Source organism: Homo sapiens, chromosome 22 (genome assembly GCF_000001405.40).
Source record: "Homo sapiens chromosome 22, GRCh38.p14 Primary Assembly".
NCBI classification, from domain to species: domain Eukaryota; kingdom Metazoa; phylum Chordata; class Mammalia; order Primates; family Hominidae; genus Homo; species Homo sapiens.
The window spans coordinates 17,483,878-17,501,466 of record NC_000022.11 but is presented as its reverse complement, the minus strand read 5'-3'; the positions used below and the strand labels follow the sequence as shown (position 1 = coordinate 17,501,466).

The 17,589-nt window shown below is 43.0% G+C and overlaps 1 protein-coding gene across 12 annotated transcripts in view, besides 1 other annotated feature; it reads right to left on the bottom strand.

Annotated features, from left to right (window-relative positions):
- The window catches only part of CECR2 (CECR2 histone acetyl-lysine reader), a 198,203-nt gene that overhangs the window by 56,685 nt on the left and 123,929 nt on the right, over positions 1-17,589 (bottom strand). For all 12 annotated transcript variants that reach the window (NM_001290046.2, NM_001290047.2, XM_017028785.2 and 9 more), the window contains exons 3-5: positions 3,881-4,064; positions 1,918-2,057; positions 732-836 (exon numbers count right to left, since the gene is read on the bottom strand). In NM_001290046.2, coding sequence (NP_001276975.1) covers positions 732-836; positions 1,918-1,973 — 161 coding nt within the window. In that variant the 5' untranslated portion in view covers positions 1,974-2,057; positions 3,881-4,064. The remainder of the gene's footprint in view (positions 1-731; positions 837-1,917; positions 2,058-3,880; positions 4,065-17,589) is intronic.
- Positions 6,561-7,177: an enhancer, noted in NCBI's record as "H3K27ac-H3K4me1 hESC enhancer chr22:17973322-17973938 (GRCh37/hg19 assembly coordinates)". NCBI's record gives its function as "activates a minimal SCP1, AML or CMV promoter by ChIP-STARR-seq in naive H9 embryonic stem cells {active_cell/tissue: H9 hESC(naive)}" and the evidence as "EXISTENCE:reporter gene assay evidence [ECO:0000049][PMID:30033119]".

Genomic DNA, 17,589 nt, shown 5'->3' with positions numbered 1-17,589 from the left:
CCTGCCTCAGCCTCCCGAGTAGCTGGGACTACAGGCACCCGCCACCACGACTGGCTAATTTTTTGTATTTTTAGTAGAGACGGGGTTTCACCGTGTTAGCCAGGATGGTCTCGATCTCCTGAGTGATCTATATTCTTAATCTGATTTCCCAGAAATATTTCTTAGTGGTTAAAAAGTGACAGGGTGAAATTCAGCCTAACTCAAGCATTTAGATTAAGTAGGAAGGGAAGAAGCCACTTGTCCTGAGTTATCAGAATTTTTAAGAATACAGCCTCACTTCAATAGGCTTAGTGATAGAGCTGATCCTTAAGTAAAAAGTGTATTTACACAGCATAGGTCAGATTTTGAAAAGTCCTATAGCAAGATTCACATGGTGAAATTTCCTAGAAGATAATGACATATAAAAGAAAATCCCCCAAGTATCTTTCTTTGCTAAAATTAAATATAAAATTGAAGAATGAAAAAAACTGTCTTGTTCAATATAATCCTCATTAAGTGCACATCCATCGTCTAGTAAGAGGACTCGCTTAGAGAGGGGAGGTGACTTGCCAGATGTCACACACTAAGGGCTTCCTGACTGTACTGCACATGTGGTAATTTCATAAGGACTCAGTTTCAGGTTGCTATAATAATGTGCTTCCCATGGCACAGGCAAAATAAAGAAAAAGGAATAAATGAATTAAGGTCCCTTCTGCCATGGTCTATGACCACAACTAACAAGATTTTCTTACCTCAACAGAATCTCCTCCTGCAGTTTCTTCCGTTTTGGGGGTCTTCCTCTTCTTTTTCCCGTTTTTCCAGGAATACTTGAGACATTTTTTTGTCCTTCACTTTCCCTAATAAATAATATTAAATAGAAATGTTCTGGCACAGGATTGGCATTGCTACATATGATTTTAAAACAGTATTTCTGGCCATGAGATTACCAAAAAGGATTAAATGTAGCAGTGAAAGGAAAAGGGAACAGCAACTTCCAGTCTTCATTATTAGACTGTGGATCTGAGGAAAACTAACATTTTGCAATACTAAAATGTGCTTAAGATCTAACTAACACCTTCCGAAGAGTAAGCATTCTCCTAGCAGTAAGAAAGCCTAAATAAGAGGTTAGCATTGTTTTGGGATGCTATGGAAATGCGGCCTCTTCCTTACTTAGTAAAGCTTATGTTTCAGGCATCATTTAAATTCCTTCTGTTCTTAAACTGATGGATACTAACGTTCATAAACTACATCATTAAATTCTTTTTTTTTTTTTTTTTTTGATGGAGTCTCGCTCTGTCGCCCAGGCTGGAGTGCAGTGGTGCGATCTCGGCTCACTGCAAGATCAGCCTCCCGGGTTCACACCATTCTCCTGCCTCAGCCTCCCGAGTAGCTGGGACTACAGGTGCCCGCCACCACGCCTGGCTAATTTTTTGTATTTTTAGTAGAGACAGGGTTTCACCGTATTAGCCAGGATGGTCTCGATCTCCTGACCTCGTGATCCGCCCGCCTCGGCCTCCCAGAGTGCTGGGATTACAGGCATGAGCCACTGCGCCTGGCATAAACTACATCATTAATTCTAGTCGAAATAAGGAGATCTCAAGGACTGATGATGCAAGATGAAATTGTTACTGCAGTGAAATGATTGTGCTGCTGAGAAGAAACCTGCTATATTAAAATAGCCTGTGGCAAGAGGAGTGGCATTTCTCAGAAACCTCCTATCAAGAACTTCAGATTAAAAAAGTATATTTAACCCCTCTGGTAGCAGAGAATTAATTCCTTTTTGTTTTTGCATGAAGTATCTCCTTACCATCTCTTTGCAGGCATGCTTAGAGAATTCCTTCATTAGGAAAAAAAAATTGTGCTGTAGAATTCTGATGCATTTAATCTTAATGACATTTTAATACAGTAGCTATCATGCCCTAACACTGAAGAACATACCTGCTCAAAGAGAGTTCTCCATTGGATTTTCCTTGCACCGGGTCCTCTTTGTACATTCGTGTTCCATAGAAATACCAATATAGTGCCCCAGAATTGTCTTCACCCAATGGCTCCACACGGAGACTGTCTGCATCCAGGCCCTACACAGAGCACGGAAAAGGGGTTTGGGGAAATGGGGAACAAAACGCACCAGGAAAAAACCAGAACGAGGATTCCAAATTTACACGTAAGCATAACTCAAATCTAAAAATGCCCAAGTATCGCTGGGCGTGGTGGCTCACGCCTGTAATCCCAGCACTTTGGGAGGCTGAGGCGGGCAAATCATGGGGTCAGGAGTTCAAGACCAGCCTGGCCAACATGGTGAAACCCCACCTCTACTAAAAATACAAAAAATCAGCTGGGCGTGGTGGCGCGCGCCTGTAATCCCAGCTACTCGGGAGGCTGAGGCAGGAGAATCGCTTGAACCTGGGAGGTGGAGGTCGCAGTGAGCCAAGATCATGCCACTGCACTCCAGCCTGGGCGACAGAGAGAGACTCTGTCTCAAACAATAAATAAATAAATAAATAAATAAAAATGTCCAAGTATCTTATGTAATTTTCAATCAGCATAAGAAACACGGATATAATGGGAAGGTGGTACCTACTTTGAGGAACAAGAGATGGAAATATTACAATGCTCCCTATCCCCACCATTGTTCCCTTTTCAAAAAAGAGAGAATCCAACAGCAATCCTGATGAACAGTTTACAGATTTGGCTGGGAGCGGTTGTTTTATGTGAGCACACACGAAAAGAAAGACAAGTACAACCGGGTGGATCAGGCACGGGGCAAGCTTTGCCCCATGGGATCCTCTGTGGCAGTTCCGGCATAACCTCCTGTGACCTCTCACTCCAGCTGAGTTCCAGTGACAGGGCTCCCAATTTACCTCGGGGGCTGACCTGTACTGGCCTTCTCACTGCTACTGAAGTCCTTGAGTCCTCAGCAAAGACCGTGCTAAATTACACAATGATTTTTTTATAATGTGCCCATAACCAGAGCTCAACTGAGAAGTCATCACCACATTTAATCACTGATGATGGAACAGGATTAGAAACTGACTTCCCTATGAGTGAAAGCAATAACCCACACTCTCCCTTGAGGATATACTTTTTTTTTTTTTTAAAGACGGAGTCTCGCTCTGTCACCCAGGCTGGAGTGCAGTGGCGCAATCTCGGCTCACTGCAAGCTCCGCCTCCCGGGTTCATGCCATTCTCCTGCCTCAGCCTCCCGAGTAGCTGGGACTACAGGCGCCTGCCACCACGCCCGGCTAATTTTTTTTTACTTTTAGTGGAGACGGGATTTCACCGTGTTAGCCAGGATGGTCTCGATCTCCTGACTTCGTGATCTGCCTGCCTTGGCCTCCCAAAGTGCTGGGATTACAGGCGTGAGCCACAGCACCCGGCCCCCTCTAGGATATACTTCTAAACAGATAACCACACCAAGGGGGACAGAGAGATGGCCACAGCTTCCTTCAACACATTTTTTGTAACGTGGATGTGTGTAGAGGATGACCTTCACTAACATATACGGTTTCAAGTTCTTGGAGATTTCAGTAAATATTTCAATCAAATTTACACCCTGAAAAATAAAACTCAGTGGCGGATTTAGTTGCAGGTTTGGCTGATGACAGAACAAACAGGGTCCTCTGGTTGTACCTATTGCAGATAGGACTCAGTGCACGTAAAGGAAGATGAAACCAGACTAGAAATTAGACCAAAATAACGTACTTCCATAGGGATGTACATCTTGCATCTCCGTGGCTACAGCAGTCATGGTTTTCCATACAGTGTTATTGGCAATGAATAGTACCAAGACTAGTACCACAAGCCAAACTCTGGCTTAGTATCTTTGGGTTTTACGTTCTGACTACATTTCTGATTGCTGGCTTTTCACAGCTACAGGGAAAGGTTCGCCAGTTAAGCATACCTTTAGAAGATCGAAGACATCGTCTGCATCCAGCCGGTAATCACAGAGTCGGTGCAGGATCTCCACCCGTGTGCGAAGAGGCAGGTCCTGGAAACTGGCTTCCCTCAGAGGGTTGGGCTTCCCTTCTTCGAGCTCCCAGCGGTAGTTGATGATGTCCTCTAGGTAGCTGTGGAATGTCTGAGGCCTAGACCAGGGCCCCAAACACAAAAATACATTAATATAAAATATAGGTTGGTTGGGAGAAGGAGAGAGAGAGAGAACTCATGATCTGACAGCTAACAGATTTTTGTTTTTATACAGACAGGGTCTCGCTCTGTCATCCAGGCTAGAGCACAGTGGCAAGATCTCAGCTCACTGCAGCTCTCCTGGGCTCAAAAGATTTTCCCACCTCAACCTCCCAGGTACCTGGGACCACAGGCATGCACCACCACACCCAGCTAATCTTTGTATTTTTTGTAGAGACAGGGGTCTCCCTATGTTGCCCAGGCTGTTCTCAAGCTCCCAGGCTCACACGATCCGCCCGCCTTGGCTTCCCAAAGTGCTGGGATTACAGGGGTGAGGTAACACGCTTGGCCCAGTTGACAAATTTTACACAGAAAGCAGAAATGAAAAACAGTAACAGGAAGTCCCTCATGAAGTTTCAGCCTACTTACATGGATATTGTGTTTTGTCAACTATCAAGGAAGATAAATATATAAAGAGGGTTTTTCACAGAATAGGTTGACTTTAAAGCCCGAATAGCACATTCTGGTGGAATGGGTAAAAGCATAATCAAATGTGTAGGTTATGAAGCTGAGGCAAAAGTCTCACCCGCTACGCGTACAACTGAAGACACCCTGCGGTTCAGACAGTACAAAGTTGGGTTCATGACTTAGGTGGCGAGAAAAAAGGAAAAAAGAAACGCATAGTTGGCCTAACCTAATTTATATTTCAGGTTAAGATACAAAGGCAGAAAGTCCTCCAGAATACAAATGGCTACACTGATATGCAACTATAATTTCATATTCTATTATACATGAACTTTAAGGCATGAACACTGCATTCTAAATTTTTTTTCTTTGATTTTTCTTTCTTTCTTTTTTTTTTTGAGACAGAGTCTCGCTCTGTCACCCAGGCTGGAGTGCAGTGGCTCGATGTCAGCTCACTGCAAGCTCCACCTCCCGGGTTCATGCCATTCTCCTGCCTCAGCCTCCCGAGTAGCTGGGACTAGAGGCGCCCACCACCATGCCCGGCTAATTTCTTTTTGTAATTTTAGTAGAGACCGGGTTTCACTGTGTTAACCAGGATGGTCTCGATCTCCTGACCTCGTGATCCACCCGCCTCGTCCTCACAAAGTGCTGGGATTACAGGCGTGAGCCACCGTGCCCGTCCTTTCTTTGATTTTTCAGAGATGGGGTCTCAGCATGTTGCCCAGGCTGGTCTTGAACTCCAGGGCTCAAGCAATCCTCCCATGTCTGTATATTAAAATTTGAAGATAGTTTTTCTGCAGAGAACATTTAAGACACCTAGATGGCAATTTAAATTTTTTCTTCAGTACAGTCTGGAAACCCTATAATTGTGTTAAATATATTTTTTCCCATATGGGGTCTCACTATATTGTCCAGGCTGGACTCAAACTCCTGAGCTCAAGCAATCCTCCCACCTTGGTCTCCAGAGCATCTGGACTATAAGTGCGTCTTACCACATCCAGGTGTAAATACCTTTTTTTTTTTTTTTTTTTTTTTTGAGACAGAGTCTTGCTCTGTCACCCAGGCTGGAGTGCAGTGGTGCGATCTTGGCTCACTGCAAGCTCCGCCTCCCAGGTTCACGCCATTCTCCTGCCTCAGCCTCCCGAGTAGCTGGGACTACAGGCGCCTGCCACCACGCCCAGCTAATTTTTTGTATTTTTAGTAGAGACAGGGTTTCACTGTGTTAGCCAGGATGGTCTCGATTTCCTGACCTCATGATCCACCCGCCTCGGCCTCCCGAAGTGCTGGGATTACAGGCGTGAGCCACCACACCCGTTTTTTTTTTTTTTTTAATGGAGTTTTGCTCTTGTAGCCCAGGCTGGAGTACAATGGCGTGATCTTGGCTCACTGCAACCTCTGCCTCCTGGGTGCAAGTGATTCTCCTGCCTCAGTCTCCTGAGTAGCTAGGATTACAGATGCCCACCACCATGACCGGCTAATTTTTGTATTTTTAGTAAAGACAGGGTTTCACCACGTTGGCCAGGCTAGTCTTGAACTCCTGACCTCAGGTGATCCGCTTGCCTTAGCCTCCCAGAGTGCTGGGATTACAGATGTGAGCCACTGTGCCCAGCCACGTATTTTGATTAGTACCTAAATATGCCTTCCATGTAATAATGTGCTGTTTGTTAGATGGTTATTTTACATCTCAACTATTAAGAATCAAGATCTAATTTACCTCATGCTTGATGTGAAAAGTTTTTTCTTATTAATAAGCAAAGAGGCCTAAAGAAGTTATTGGTATCATTTTAAAATTAGGCAACTACTATGTTGACTTATAATCTATGGTAGTTATATTTGCAGCAAAGTGAAAGGAAATATTTGTGGAAAAAATTAAGAAGGCTTAGGCAAATAAGAAATTAAACAGTTTGCCGGGCGCGGTGGCTCACGCCTGTAATCCCAGCACTGTGGGAGGCCGAGGTGGGCGGATCACGAGGTCAGGAGTTTGAGACCAGCCTGGCCAATATGGTGAAATCCCATCTCTACTATAAATACAAAAATTAGCCGGGCGTGGTGGCGTGTGCCTGTAGTCCCAGCTACTCAGGAGGCTGAGGCAGGAGAATTGCTTGAACCTGGGAGGCAGAGTTTGCCGTGAGCCGAGATTGTGCCCCTGCACTGTAGCCTGGGCAACAGAGTGAGATGCTGTCTCAAAAAAAACAAAAAAACACTTAAACAGTTTGCTTTTTCAAAGAGAGAAGAAACATCTTTCCCCTACTCTTACTATCTCACTGGGGAAAACATGAGTATGGCAGCTTTATCAAAATGCAGCGTAACAGTTCTAACAATCAGGGCTCTCACAAATCTCACTGGACTACAGCATTCACATTCAGCACACGAGCACCGGCCATTACTGAGTGCTTGAACCTTGCAGGGTTTGGACTGGCTGCCTCTCCATTGTCTGTGAAGTTGCTACCAACCCTTCCAGAGTGAGGAGCCGGGCAAAGAGTAGTTCAAACTCACATTAAAATGCAGACAGTGTCGTAACGGTGAATTTGAAAATGAAAAAGTTTGGCCAGGCATGGTGGCTCACGCCTGTAATCCCAGCACTTTGGGAGGCCGACATGGAGAAACCCCGTCTCTACTAAAGTAAATACAAAATTAGCCGGTTGTGGTGGCATATGCCTGTAATCCCAGCTACTCTGGAAGGCTGAAGCAGGAGAATCGCTTGAACCCGGGAGGCAGAGGTTGTGGTGAGCCAAGATCGCGCCATTGCGCTCCAGCCTGGGCAAGAAGAAACGCCGTCTCCAAAAAGAAAGAAAGAAAGAAAGAAAATGAAAAAGTGTTTTTTTAAAAACTGCTTTTTTAGTAGCCAGAAGTGTGTAGAAGACAATCATCCTTTGGCAATAAATCTCTTTATCTACCGCATGCTTTCGAGAATTTCTAATGTACACCAAGTTCCACAAACACTAAAGTCTGTTTTTTCCTGCAATAAAATAAAACATGGAATCAGTGAAATCTGTATCATTTCACCAGAATAGCAGCTTCACTGGAGGATGTGCAGAAGATGCTGGGCCAGGGAGCGAGACCTTTCTTATTCCAATGTGAGGTTGAGAAAGTACAGGCATACCAGCCCACAAACACTGCGTGTGCATCCGCAGTGCTGCTCCTTTAGACAACAGTCTGTCTGGAAGCCCTTACTTGTCTCAAACAATTCCATGTTTCAGATTCCTTCCCAACAGGCCTATTGTCCTACTCAGTTTAAATTACATCACTTTTGCTAAAAGCTTTCTTAAGGCATCTATCTCCATGCCACCTTAACTAGGAGACACCTGAGGGCCTACAATCCAAGACAATTCCATTTCCTTGTATGTAGATCAACCTTCTCCTAGAAATCTACATCTCCTTTTAAACATCAGAGAGTGAATGGGGAAAAATCTCTTGAGGGCAAAGGCACTGGCTAAGGGTGATTTGAAATAAAAAGGCTTCAGGAAGCTAAAAATCAGGCTAATTCTTTTGACTTACTGGTTCTTCATCTTCTATAGGACAGAAAACACTTAATAATTTGATAAAGACTACATACTTTCTCCCCCAGAAAAATGAGCACACAATTTTGCATGTACTTTCAGGTTTTACTATTTAAAGGAAAAAGAGGCCGGGCGCAGTAGCTCACGCCGGTAATCCCAGCACTTTGGGAGGCCGAGATGGGCAGATCACTTGAGGACAGGAGTTTGAGACCAGCCTGGCCAACACAGAGAAAGCCTGTCTCTACTAAAAATACAGAAATTAGCCAGGCATGGTGGTACGTGCCTGTAATCCCAGCCACTCGGGAGGCTGAGGCAGGAGAATCACTTGAACTCAGGAGGAGGAGGTTGCAGTGAGCTGAGATTGCACCACTGCACTCCAGCCTGGGCGACAGAGCCAGACTCTGTCTCAAAAATAAAATAAAATAAAATATAAAGTAAAATAAAATAAAGGAAAAAGAACAGTGGCACTGTGCTGCTAAAAACTAATGTGTACATATTTTTAAGCTTCTCAAGTTTAGATTACCTGGAACATTCATTCACTTACTCATCCATTCATCTCCTTGCAATTCCCTCTTAATGACTTAGTAATTCTCATCATTCTGAAATTATCTTGAACTATAATAAAACATTTCATTTAAAAATAGTAATGCAAAGATCAAACCAAACGGAATTTCTCAGAACAACAAGGTCTATTTTATTTCTTGTCTAGGAAAAGTTCCAAATACTCTTAAATGACCCATTTTCGCATTCATTTTCCATCCTACAAAACAGCAGTAAGAGACTGGCTCTTAATTACCTCTTTTTTTCCCTCTATGAGTGAAAGAGCAAGAAAGAGTGAAAATAAGAATGAGTCAACAACCTTTCCAAACTCTTAAAGTTAGCCATTTCTTAGAGGCCCAGCAGAGAATTTCTCAGCTTGCTCCAGACAGAACATGCTTCTACTGCTGAGACCAAGGACGGCACGACCTGATTCAAGTGTTCCAGCACAAGCCTCTGCCGGCTGGAACTGGCAGAATTCTTCACTGTGTAGGACAACACATTGTTAATATCTGCACCCTGTTTGGGGAGATCACAAGAAGAAGACTCTTAAGTTCTTTGAGGCATGTGTTAGGGACATGAAAGGGCAGCCATGGTCTCTCTACAGGGGAGCAATAAAGGTTTGGCACCAGGCTTCCCAGAATGGAGATAAGATGAAAAATCAAATTGCATTCTCCCATTTGCTACAACAATTTGTGAAGCAAATGAAATACATGTACACACAGGCCACGTTTAACATAAGTACTGAATTGAGATAAATATTCTGGTTCTAGTAGTAAAGCAACAAGTAAAAGATTCTGTATGAATACTTGATAAAGCATTTATTCTCGAAGCTTATAAAAAGACCAGGCCAAAATAATTAAAATAACAGTTCTTCTTCTCTAGGGCTGTAGAATAGCTACTATATCCCACATACTAAAATCAACATGACAGCCAAGATAAGTTAAAATCATGGTTATTTCAAATTAAAGGAAAATATGGTTAAGGCAGAATCTGCAAAACATCTTTGCCTAGAGAAACATGTACATAATACAGATTTTTACATGTGTTTATGAATGTTTATGTTGGGTAACCAAGAAAGTGAATAAACCCCAAATGTATCTTTAAAATGATAAAGGCTATTTTTTTAATGGAACCTAAATACTGTACAGATGAAGTGAGAAGTCTCAAGTATCATGTATAAGGCATGAAGAGGTACAATAAAAATTCTGAATAGCTCTGGATAAAATTTAAGGATATATATTGTTTGCCCTACGACTGCTAAACACCCACCCCCCCACACACACACACACAGAATAAGAAGCCAATAGTGGAAATAAAGTGATACACTTAAAACAAATTCATGTGCCTAAAAGAAAGCATTAAAGGACCAACAAAGGAACAAAAAGCAGAAGGCAGCAGAGAAGTTTCTCAACCTTAGCCACTTGGGAAATGCAAGTCAAAACCATAATGAGGTACCACCTCATGTCCACTATAATGGAGGACGTCAAAAAACACACAGTAACAAGTGCTGACCAGGATGCAGAGACACGGAATCCTCACACACGGCCGGTGGGAAGGCTAAGTGTGCAGCTGCTGTGGAAGTTTCGCCAAGTTGCACTGAACTACCAACCCAGCCACTCCAACTCCTAGGTGTACACCCCAGAGAAAAGGAAAACACATCCACACAAAGACTTGCGCACAAATGTTCAAAGCGGCAGAATTCCTAACAGCCAAAAGCTAAAATCTGCGTACATACCCATGAACTGAAGGATTAAGTGTGTATCCACACAATGAAGTATTATTTTACCATAAAAATGAATGAAGTACTGATTCATGCTACAACATGGTTAAAACTTGAAAAATAACTCTAAGTGAAAAAAGCCAGATACAAAAGGACACTTCCCATATGGCTCCAGTTATAAGATGGGCCTACAACACTCAAACCTGTGGAGACAGTAAGAATAGTGACGCTGGGAAGTGGGTGGGAGGAAACAGGGAATGATTGCTAATGGTACAAAGTGTCTTCTGTAGGGTAATAGAAGTATTCTGCAATTAGATAGTGGTGATGGTTGCACAATTTTGTTAATACATAAAAACCAATGAATTGTACACTTTAAAAAAACACAAGGAGGCCTGGCATGGTGGCTCATGCCTGTAATCCTAGCACTTTGGGAGGCTGAGGTGGACAGATCATGAAGTCAGGAGTTTGAGACCAGCCTGGCCAATATGGTGAAACCCTGTCTCTACTAAAAATAAAAAATAAAAATAAAAAAAAAATTAGCCGGGCGTGGTGGCATGCACCTGTAATCCCAGCTACTCGGGAGGCTGATGCAGGAGAATTGCTTGCACTCAGGAGGCGGAGGTTGCAGTGAGCTGAGATCACACCACTGCACTCCAGCCTGGGTGACAGAGCAAGACGCCATCTCAAAAAATAAATAAATAAAAATACAAAGATTAAAAGGATAGAAAATGATCTACCAGGCACAGTAAGCATGAGAAAGCTGAGGATTAATATGAGACAAAGCAGATGTGGAGACAGAGTGTCACATAAGAAGAAATGGAACAACTTCCCAGGACTATATAACAAAGCTACCGCTACACATCCAATAACAGGACACCACAACCCATGAGACAAAATGGGCACAACTAATGGGAGAAATAGATCCACAATCAGAGAGATTTTAATACTGGCTTCTCATTAATAGACCAAACACACACACACACACACACAAAAAAAAAACAGTAAGGAACAGATCTCAACAGTATTACCACTAACATACTAAATCACGAATTTAAATAATACACTTTTGGGTCACAGAAGAAATAAAGGAGAGCATGTTTTAAACAATAATATAAACATCAAAATTCGCAGGATGCAGCCAACTATGGGTTAGAAGGAAATTTACAAGTTTTTTAGGGAAAATTTATAGCTTTAAATGCCTGTTTTTTGAAAAAAGGCTCAAAAACAGTACTCCAAAGAAGCAAAAAAAAAAAAAGAGCAAGCTAAAGCCAAAGTAAACAGAGGAAATAAAAAAGAGAAATCAATAAAATAAAAAAGCAAAGAGTAAAGAAAATTAATAATATAAAACAGTTCCTTAGTAAACATTTAAAAAGTTGATAAGGCCTGGAATGGCTGCTCACGCCTGTAATTCCAGCACTTTGGGAGGCTGAGGCTGGAGGACAACTTGAGGCCATGAGTTCAAGACCAGCCTGGGCAATATATCAAGACCTGTCTCTACAACAAATATGCTTTAAATAAGCAGGGTGTGATGGAGCATACCTATAGTCCCAGCTACTCAGGAGGCTGAAGCCGGAGGACTGTTTGAGCCCAGGAGGTCGAGGCTGCAGTGGGCTATGATCACAGCACTGCACTCCAGCCTGGGTAACAGAGTGGGAACCCTGTCTCAAAAAAGTCAATAAATAAATTAAATAAGCATCCCTAATTTAAAAGAAATAAGTAAAACACTTGGCCAAATATTTCACCAAAAAAGACATATACAAATTTATGGTAAGCACATGAATAACCACTCCACATTACTAGTCATCGGGGAAATGCAAATTAAACCCACAATGAGCTGCCACTTTCAACACAATAGGATTAGTAAAATTAAAAACAGCAGATGTTGGCAAAGATAGGAAGTAACTAGGCCGGGCGAGGTGGCTCATGCCTGTAATCCCAGTACTTTGGGAGGCCGAGGCGGGTGATCACCTGAGGTCAGGAGTTCAAGACCAGCTTGATTAACATGGTGAAACCCCGTCTCTACTAAATACAAAAAATTAGCTGGCGCATGCCTGTAATCCCAGCTACTTGGGAGGCTGAGGCAGGAGAATCACTTGAGGTGGAGGTTGCAGTGAGCAGAGATAGCACCATTGCACTCCAGCCTGGGCAAAAAGAGCAAAACTCTTGTCTCAAACAAATAAATAAGTAAATAAAAATTTAAAAAGATATGAAGCAACTGGACTGTTCAGATATTGCTGGTGGAAACGTAAATGTTGCAAGTGTTTGGAAAATAATTTCACAGTTTAAGTCAAACATACTTTTACCATGTGACCCGCCAGCAATTCCCAAGAGAAATGAAATTAAGTGCACACAAGCATTTGTATGCAAATGTTCACAGCAGCTTCATTCATAATAGGCTCCAACTGGAAGCAACCTAAGTGCTCATCCCAAGAACAGATTCAATAAATTGTGATATATTTTTCACTAGATACAATTTAGTCCCCCACCCCCCTCAAAGGAATAAACCACTGATACAAACAATGGCATGGGTGAATATCATACAGGCACTATGTGAATGAAAGAAGCTGATGTGAGTTCATTTCACACTGTGTGATCCCATTCATACAGTTCTAGAACAGGTTAGGCTCCAACTATAGTGATAAAAATGTCGTCAGTGGTTGCCAGGTGTACAATGTAGGTATGGGGAAGACTGACTACAAAGGAAACTTTCTGGGAAGACAGAAATGTCTATTTTCTTCAGTAGGATAGTGACTATGTGGTGCCCTCATTTGTTACAAAACACTGGCCTATGTTAAAAAAGACACGATGAACGTACTTAACAGAAGTATTGTCATTTCCAAAAAGATGACAGATATTTCTGTAAAGAGAACCCAAAACACTAAATGTTTGTTTATAAGGGATCTAAATTAGGGAATCTATTACGCAATGCTAGATCCATAATTAAAAATTAAATGAGGCCGGGTGCGGTGGCTCACGCCTGTAATCCCAGCACTTTGGGAGGCCAAGGGGGGGCAGATCACCTGAGGTCAGGAGTTTGAGACCAGCCTGGTCAACATGGTGAAACGCTGTCTCTACTAAAAATACAAAAATTAGCCGGGCATGATGGTGGGTGCCTTAATCCCAGCTACTTGGGAGGCAGAGGCAGAAGAATCATTTGAACCCAGGAGGTGGAGGTTGCAGTGAGTCGAGATCAGGCCATTGCACTCAAACCTGGGGGACAAGAGCGAGACTTCTCTCAAAATAAATAAATAAATAAATAAATAAATACATGAAAAATTGAATATACAATGTTGATGAATTACCGTTTAAGAGTGTAAGCCACAGGACAGTGGGTGAAGACCATACTGAAGCACAAATCAGTCTGCGTTCTATAAAGAGCACTCTACTAAAGATGTACGGACAAAAGGAAAAACATTTTAGCAGTAAGTATTATCATCATGAGTATTTAATGAAAAAAATTTTTTTGAGACACCCAGGCTTGTGCATGGCGCGATCTCGGCTCACTGCAAGCTCTGCCTCCCGGGTTCACACCACTCTCCTGCCTCAGTAGCTGGGACTACAGGCGCTCGCTACCAAACCCGGCTGATTTTTTATATTTTTTAAGTACAGACGGGGTTTCACCGCGTTAGCCAGGATGGTCTCTATCTCCTGACCTAGTGATCCACCCGCCTCGGCCTCCCAAAGTGCTGGGATTACAGGCATGAGCCACCGCGCCCAACCAATGAAAAATATTTTTACGCTGCTTAAACCGTAGCTCAAAACACAGTTTGATTCAATCGTAGCTTTACTTTGACAGTGAAGAGCAAATCAGAAGTTCCTATTTTCCACCCAGTGCTCAATTTGCCAGGTTACTTCCCAGTGGAAAACAAAAGTGCTGAAAGAGCCACTAGTTAAATTCCTAAAGTATTTTTATTGATACAGGACCATAAAACCCACTGACCAGATTTGCAATTCCAGGGAGAATATAGAAGAAAAAGTATGTAGTGTTGCAAAGAACGTGTTAGCATCAAATCAAAACTCTGCTTAAGTTTTATATTGAAAGAGAAAGGCAAAGAATTGTCAAAAATGAAGAATCCACATTTCACCATCGAGCTGAAAAACAGAAAGTGAGCAATGCCTTAGATTAGTGACCTTCCAGCGAAGTCCTGGACCAGCAGCGTGCAGCATCAGCACCACCCAGAACTTGCACAGCATGCAGGTTCCCAGGCCCCAGCCCAAGCCTACGGAATGAAACGCTGGTGAGGCCCAGCGATTTGTGTTGTAACCACCCTTAGGTGATTGTGTGGTAAGGCTGGAGAATCACCACTCGCGCTTATTCATACCTTCTGTCTTCTCCCTGCTCACCAGGTATGATAACTTTCCTGAATTGCGATAAGCTTTCACTTGATCTTCTTCGTAAGTTTTCCATATATATGTATCCTTATTTGGTTCTCCTTGCCTTACACTTAATAAGTCACTGGTGTGTATGCTTCTGTGACTTGCATTATTTGCCTAACATTCTTTCTAATGGCCTAGTTTTTCCTGGGGAGAATGCACAGCTGTAGTAAGGCTTGCCCTCAGCTCCTCAAGGCCACCCGCGTTCCCAGCCATGTGGGCTTTCCCAGTGGCTGACGCTTCATCCAAGCCGCAAGGGGCGTCCCCAGAGTGTGACAGTGAACACTAGCATGTGACTGACACGCCCCCAGTGGCGTGTCACATACAGGCACACAGGGTTCCACAGCATCACGGGGGCCTCCTCGGAGTCCAGCCCCACGCCTTACACCCAGGAAAATACCACTTTATACCACTTTATTTTGGCAACAAAATGAACAAATTCCTGAAAAAATCATTTGAATTGAGACTTTATTCTCGATGTCTCTCAGGCTTATACCAGTTTTGTTTTGCCTTCGCTTCCTCAGGTAAAAAAATAAACTGTACTTGATGATGAGGTTCCTTTTACGTCTAAGTTGTTGACTATGAACTGCAGATCAATCTAGGATTTAAAAACCCTTTTAGATGGGCACGGTGGTGCCTGCCTGTCATCTCAGCTACTTAGGAGGCTGAGGTGAGAAGATGGCTTGAGCCCAGGAGTTGGAGGCTGCAGTCAGCTATGACTGCGCCACAGCACTCAAGACTGCGCTGAAGAGTGAGATCTCGTCTTCAAAACAAAAACAGAACAAACAAAACCCACGTTTTAAAGCAGAGGTCCACAGAAATAACTGATTTCTACTGAAATCATATAGATACTGCAGATATTTCCAAATAGCACTTATGCTCACTGAGATCTGAAGACAGTAATTTTGGGAAATTAGCTCTGCTGTTAGATGAATACAACACTAACTATATCAAAAATTTCATTCTTCAATACTTTACTTTCTTTTCTTTTTTGGAGACAGGGTCTCACTCTGCTACCCAGGCTGGAGTGCAGTGGCACCATCTCCACTGCAACCTCCGCCTCCTGGGCTCCACTGATTCTCCTGCCTCAGCCTCCCGAGTACCTGGGACTACAGGTGTGCGCCACTGTACCCCACTAATTTTTGTATAATACTTTTTGTAGAGCCGGGGTTTCACCATGTTGCCCAGGCTGGTCTCGAACTCCTGAGTTCATGTGAGCGGCCTGCCTCGGCCTCCCAAGAGTGTTGAGATTACAGGCGTGAGCCACCACGCCCGGCCAATACTTCACTACTTTTCAGTATAATTGGGTTCGGGTGTAATCTTATGATTTCAAAACATTATTTTTAGATGGGGTTCACAGGCTTCCTTAGTATGTCAAAGAGTTAAAAATCCTGTTTTCAAGGAAAACTGTTTTACTTAACACTTTTCTCCTGTACTTCTCATTGACAGCACGGGGCTGCAGTTAGGAGTCGGAGGTCTAGGAAACAGATCTGTACTGTCTCAATTACCAGCTGTGTAACCTTGGGCAATTTATTTAACTTCTCTGTGCCTCAAATTCCTCATCCCTGATGGAAGGATGGGAGAGGACTTTCTATTAGAGGGCTGTCGGAAGGATTAAATGAGTGTTCTTGAGAAGCAGTTGGCAGCGTCCAGGACATAGGACATGCTGGCCAGTATCATTTCCATGAGTAGACAGTGTTATGCTGTCCTGTAAGTGCAAAAACCTCAGGTTGGAGAGTACGGTTGAAAGGAAATGTGGCTTCTATATTTCAATTTTAAAGATTAGATTGAGTCAGTGGAACTGGAATAGTTAACTAGCTTCCTAAATACAGGAGTCGGAAAATTATAGCCCGAGGGCCAAATCTGGCCTGATGTCCTTTTTTGTTGAGACACACTTTCGCTCTGTCGCAGAGGCTGGAGTGCTGTGGCATGATCTCGGCTCACTGCAACCTCTGCCTTCCAGGTTCAAGCAATTCTCATGCCTCAGCCTACAGAGTAGCTGGGACTACAGGCGTGTGCCAATACACCCGGCTAATTTTTGAATTTTTAGTAGAGACGTGGTCTCGAACTCCTGACCTCAAGTGATCCGCCCACCTTGGCCTCCCAAAGTGCTGGGATTACAGGCTTGAGACGTTGCGCCAGACCTCCTTTAAAAACAAAACAAAACAAACAAACAAACAAAAAACAGTCTATAATAATGGTTTTTATATTTTTTAATGGTGGGGAAAAAAAATTAAAAAAAACAACAACAGAAAAACAGTCTTTCCTGGCAGGTGAAAATGATACAAAAGTCAAACCTCAGTGATTAGAAAGTTCTAATAAGACACAGTCACTATTGGTTTTTCTGTATTGCCTATGGCTGCTTTCATAGTGACAGAGCTGATTACCTGCAACACAGAGCCTAAAATACAAGGTGGGTGTGCACCTGTAACACTAGTTCCTCAGGATCAGGAGGCTGAGGCAGGAAGATTGCTTGAATCTAGAAGTTTGAGGCTGCAATGGGTTAGGATTGGTCGAATGCACTCCAGCCTGGGGAACAGAGTGAGACTCTGTTGCAAGTGAGGGCCTAAAATAGCCACGCATTGCTTAACATAAAGGATATGTTCTAAGAAAGGCATGGTTAGGTGATTCTGTTGCTGTGGAAACATCATAGTGTATTTACATAAACCTAGATGGTAGAGCCTACTACACACCTAGACTATATGGCATAGCCCACTGCTCCTAGGCTACAAACCTATACTGCACCTGACTGTACTGAATACTGTAAGCCACTGTAATGGAATGTTAAGGATTTGTGGATCCAGACACATCTAAACATAGAAAAGGTATAGTAAGGACATGGTACAAAAGATTTTTAAAATGGTGTATCTGTATAAAGCACTTGTC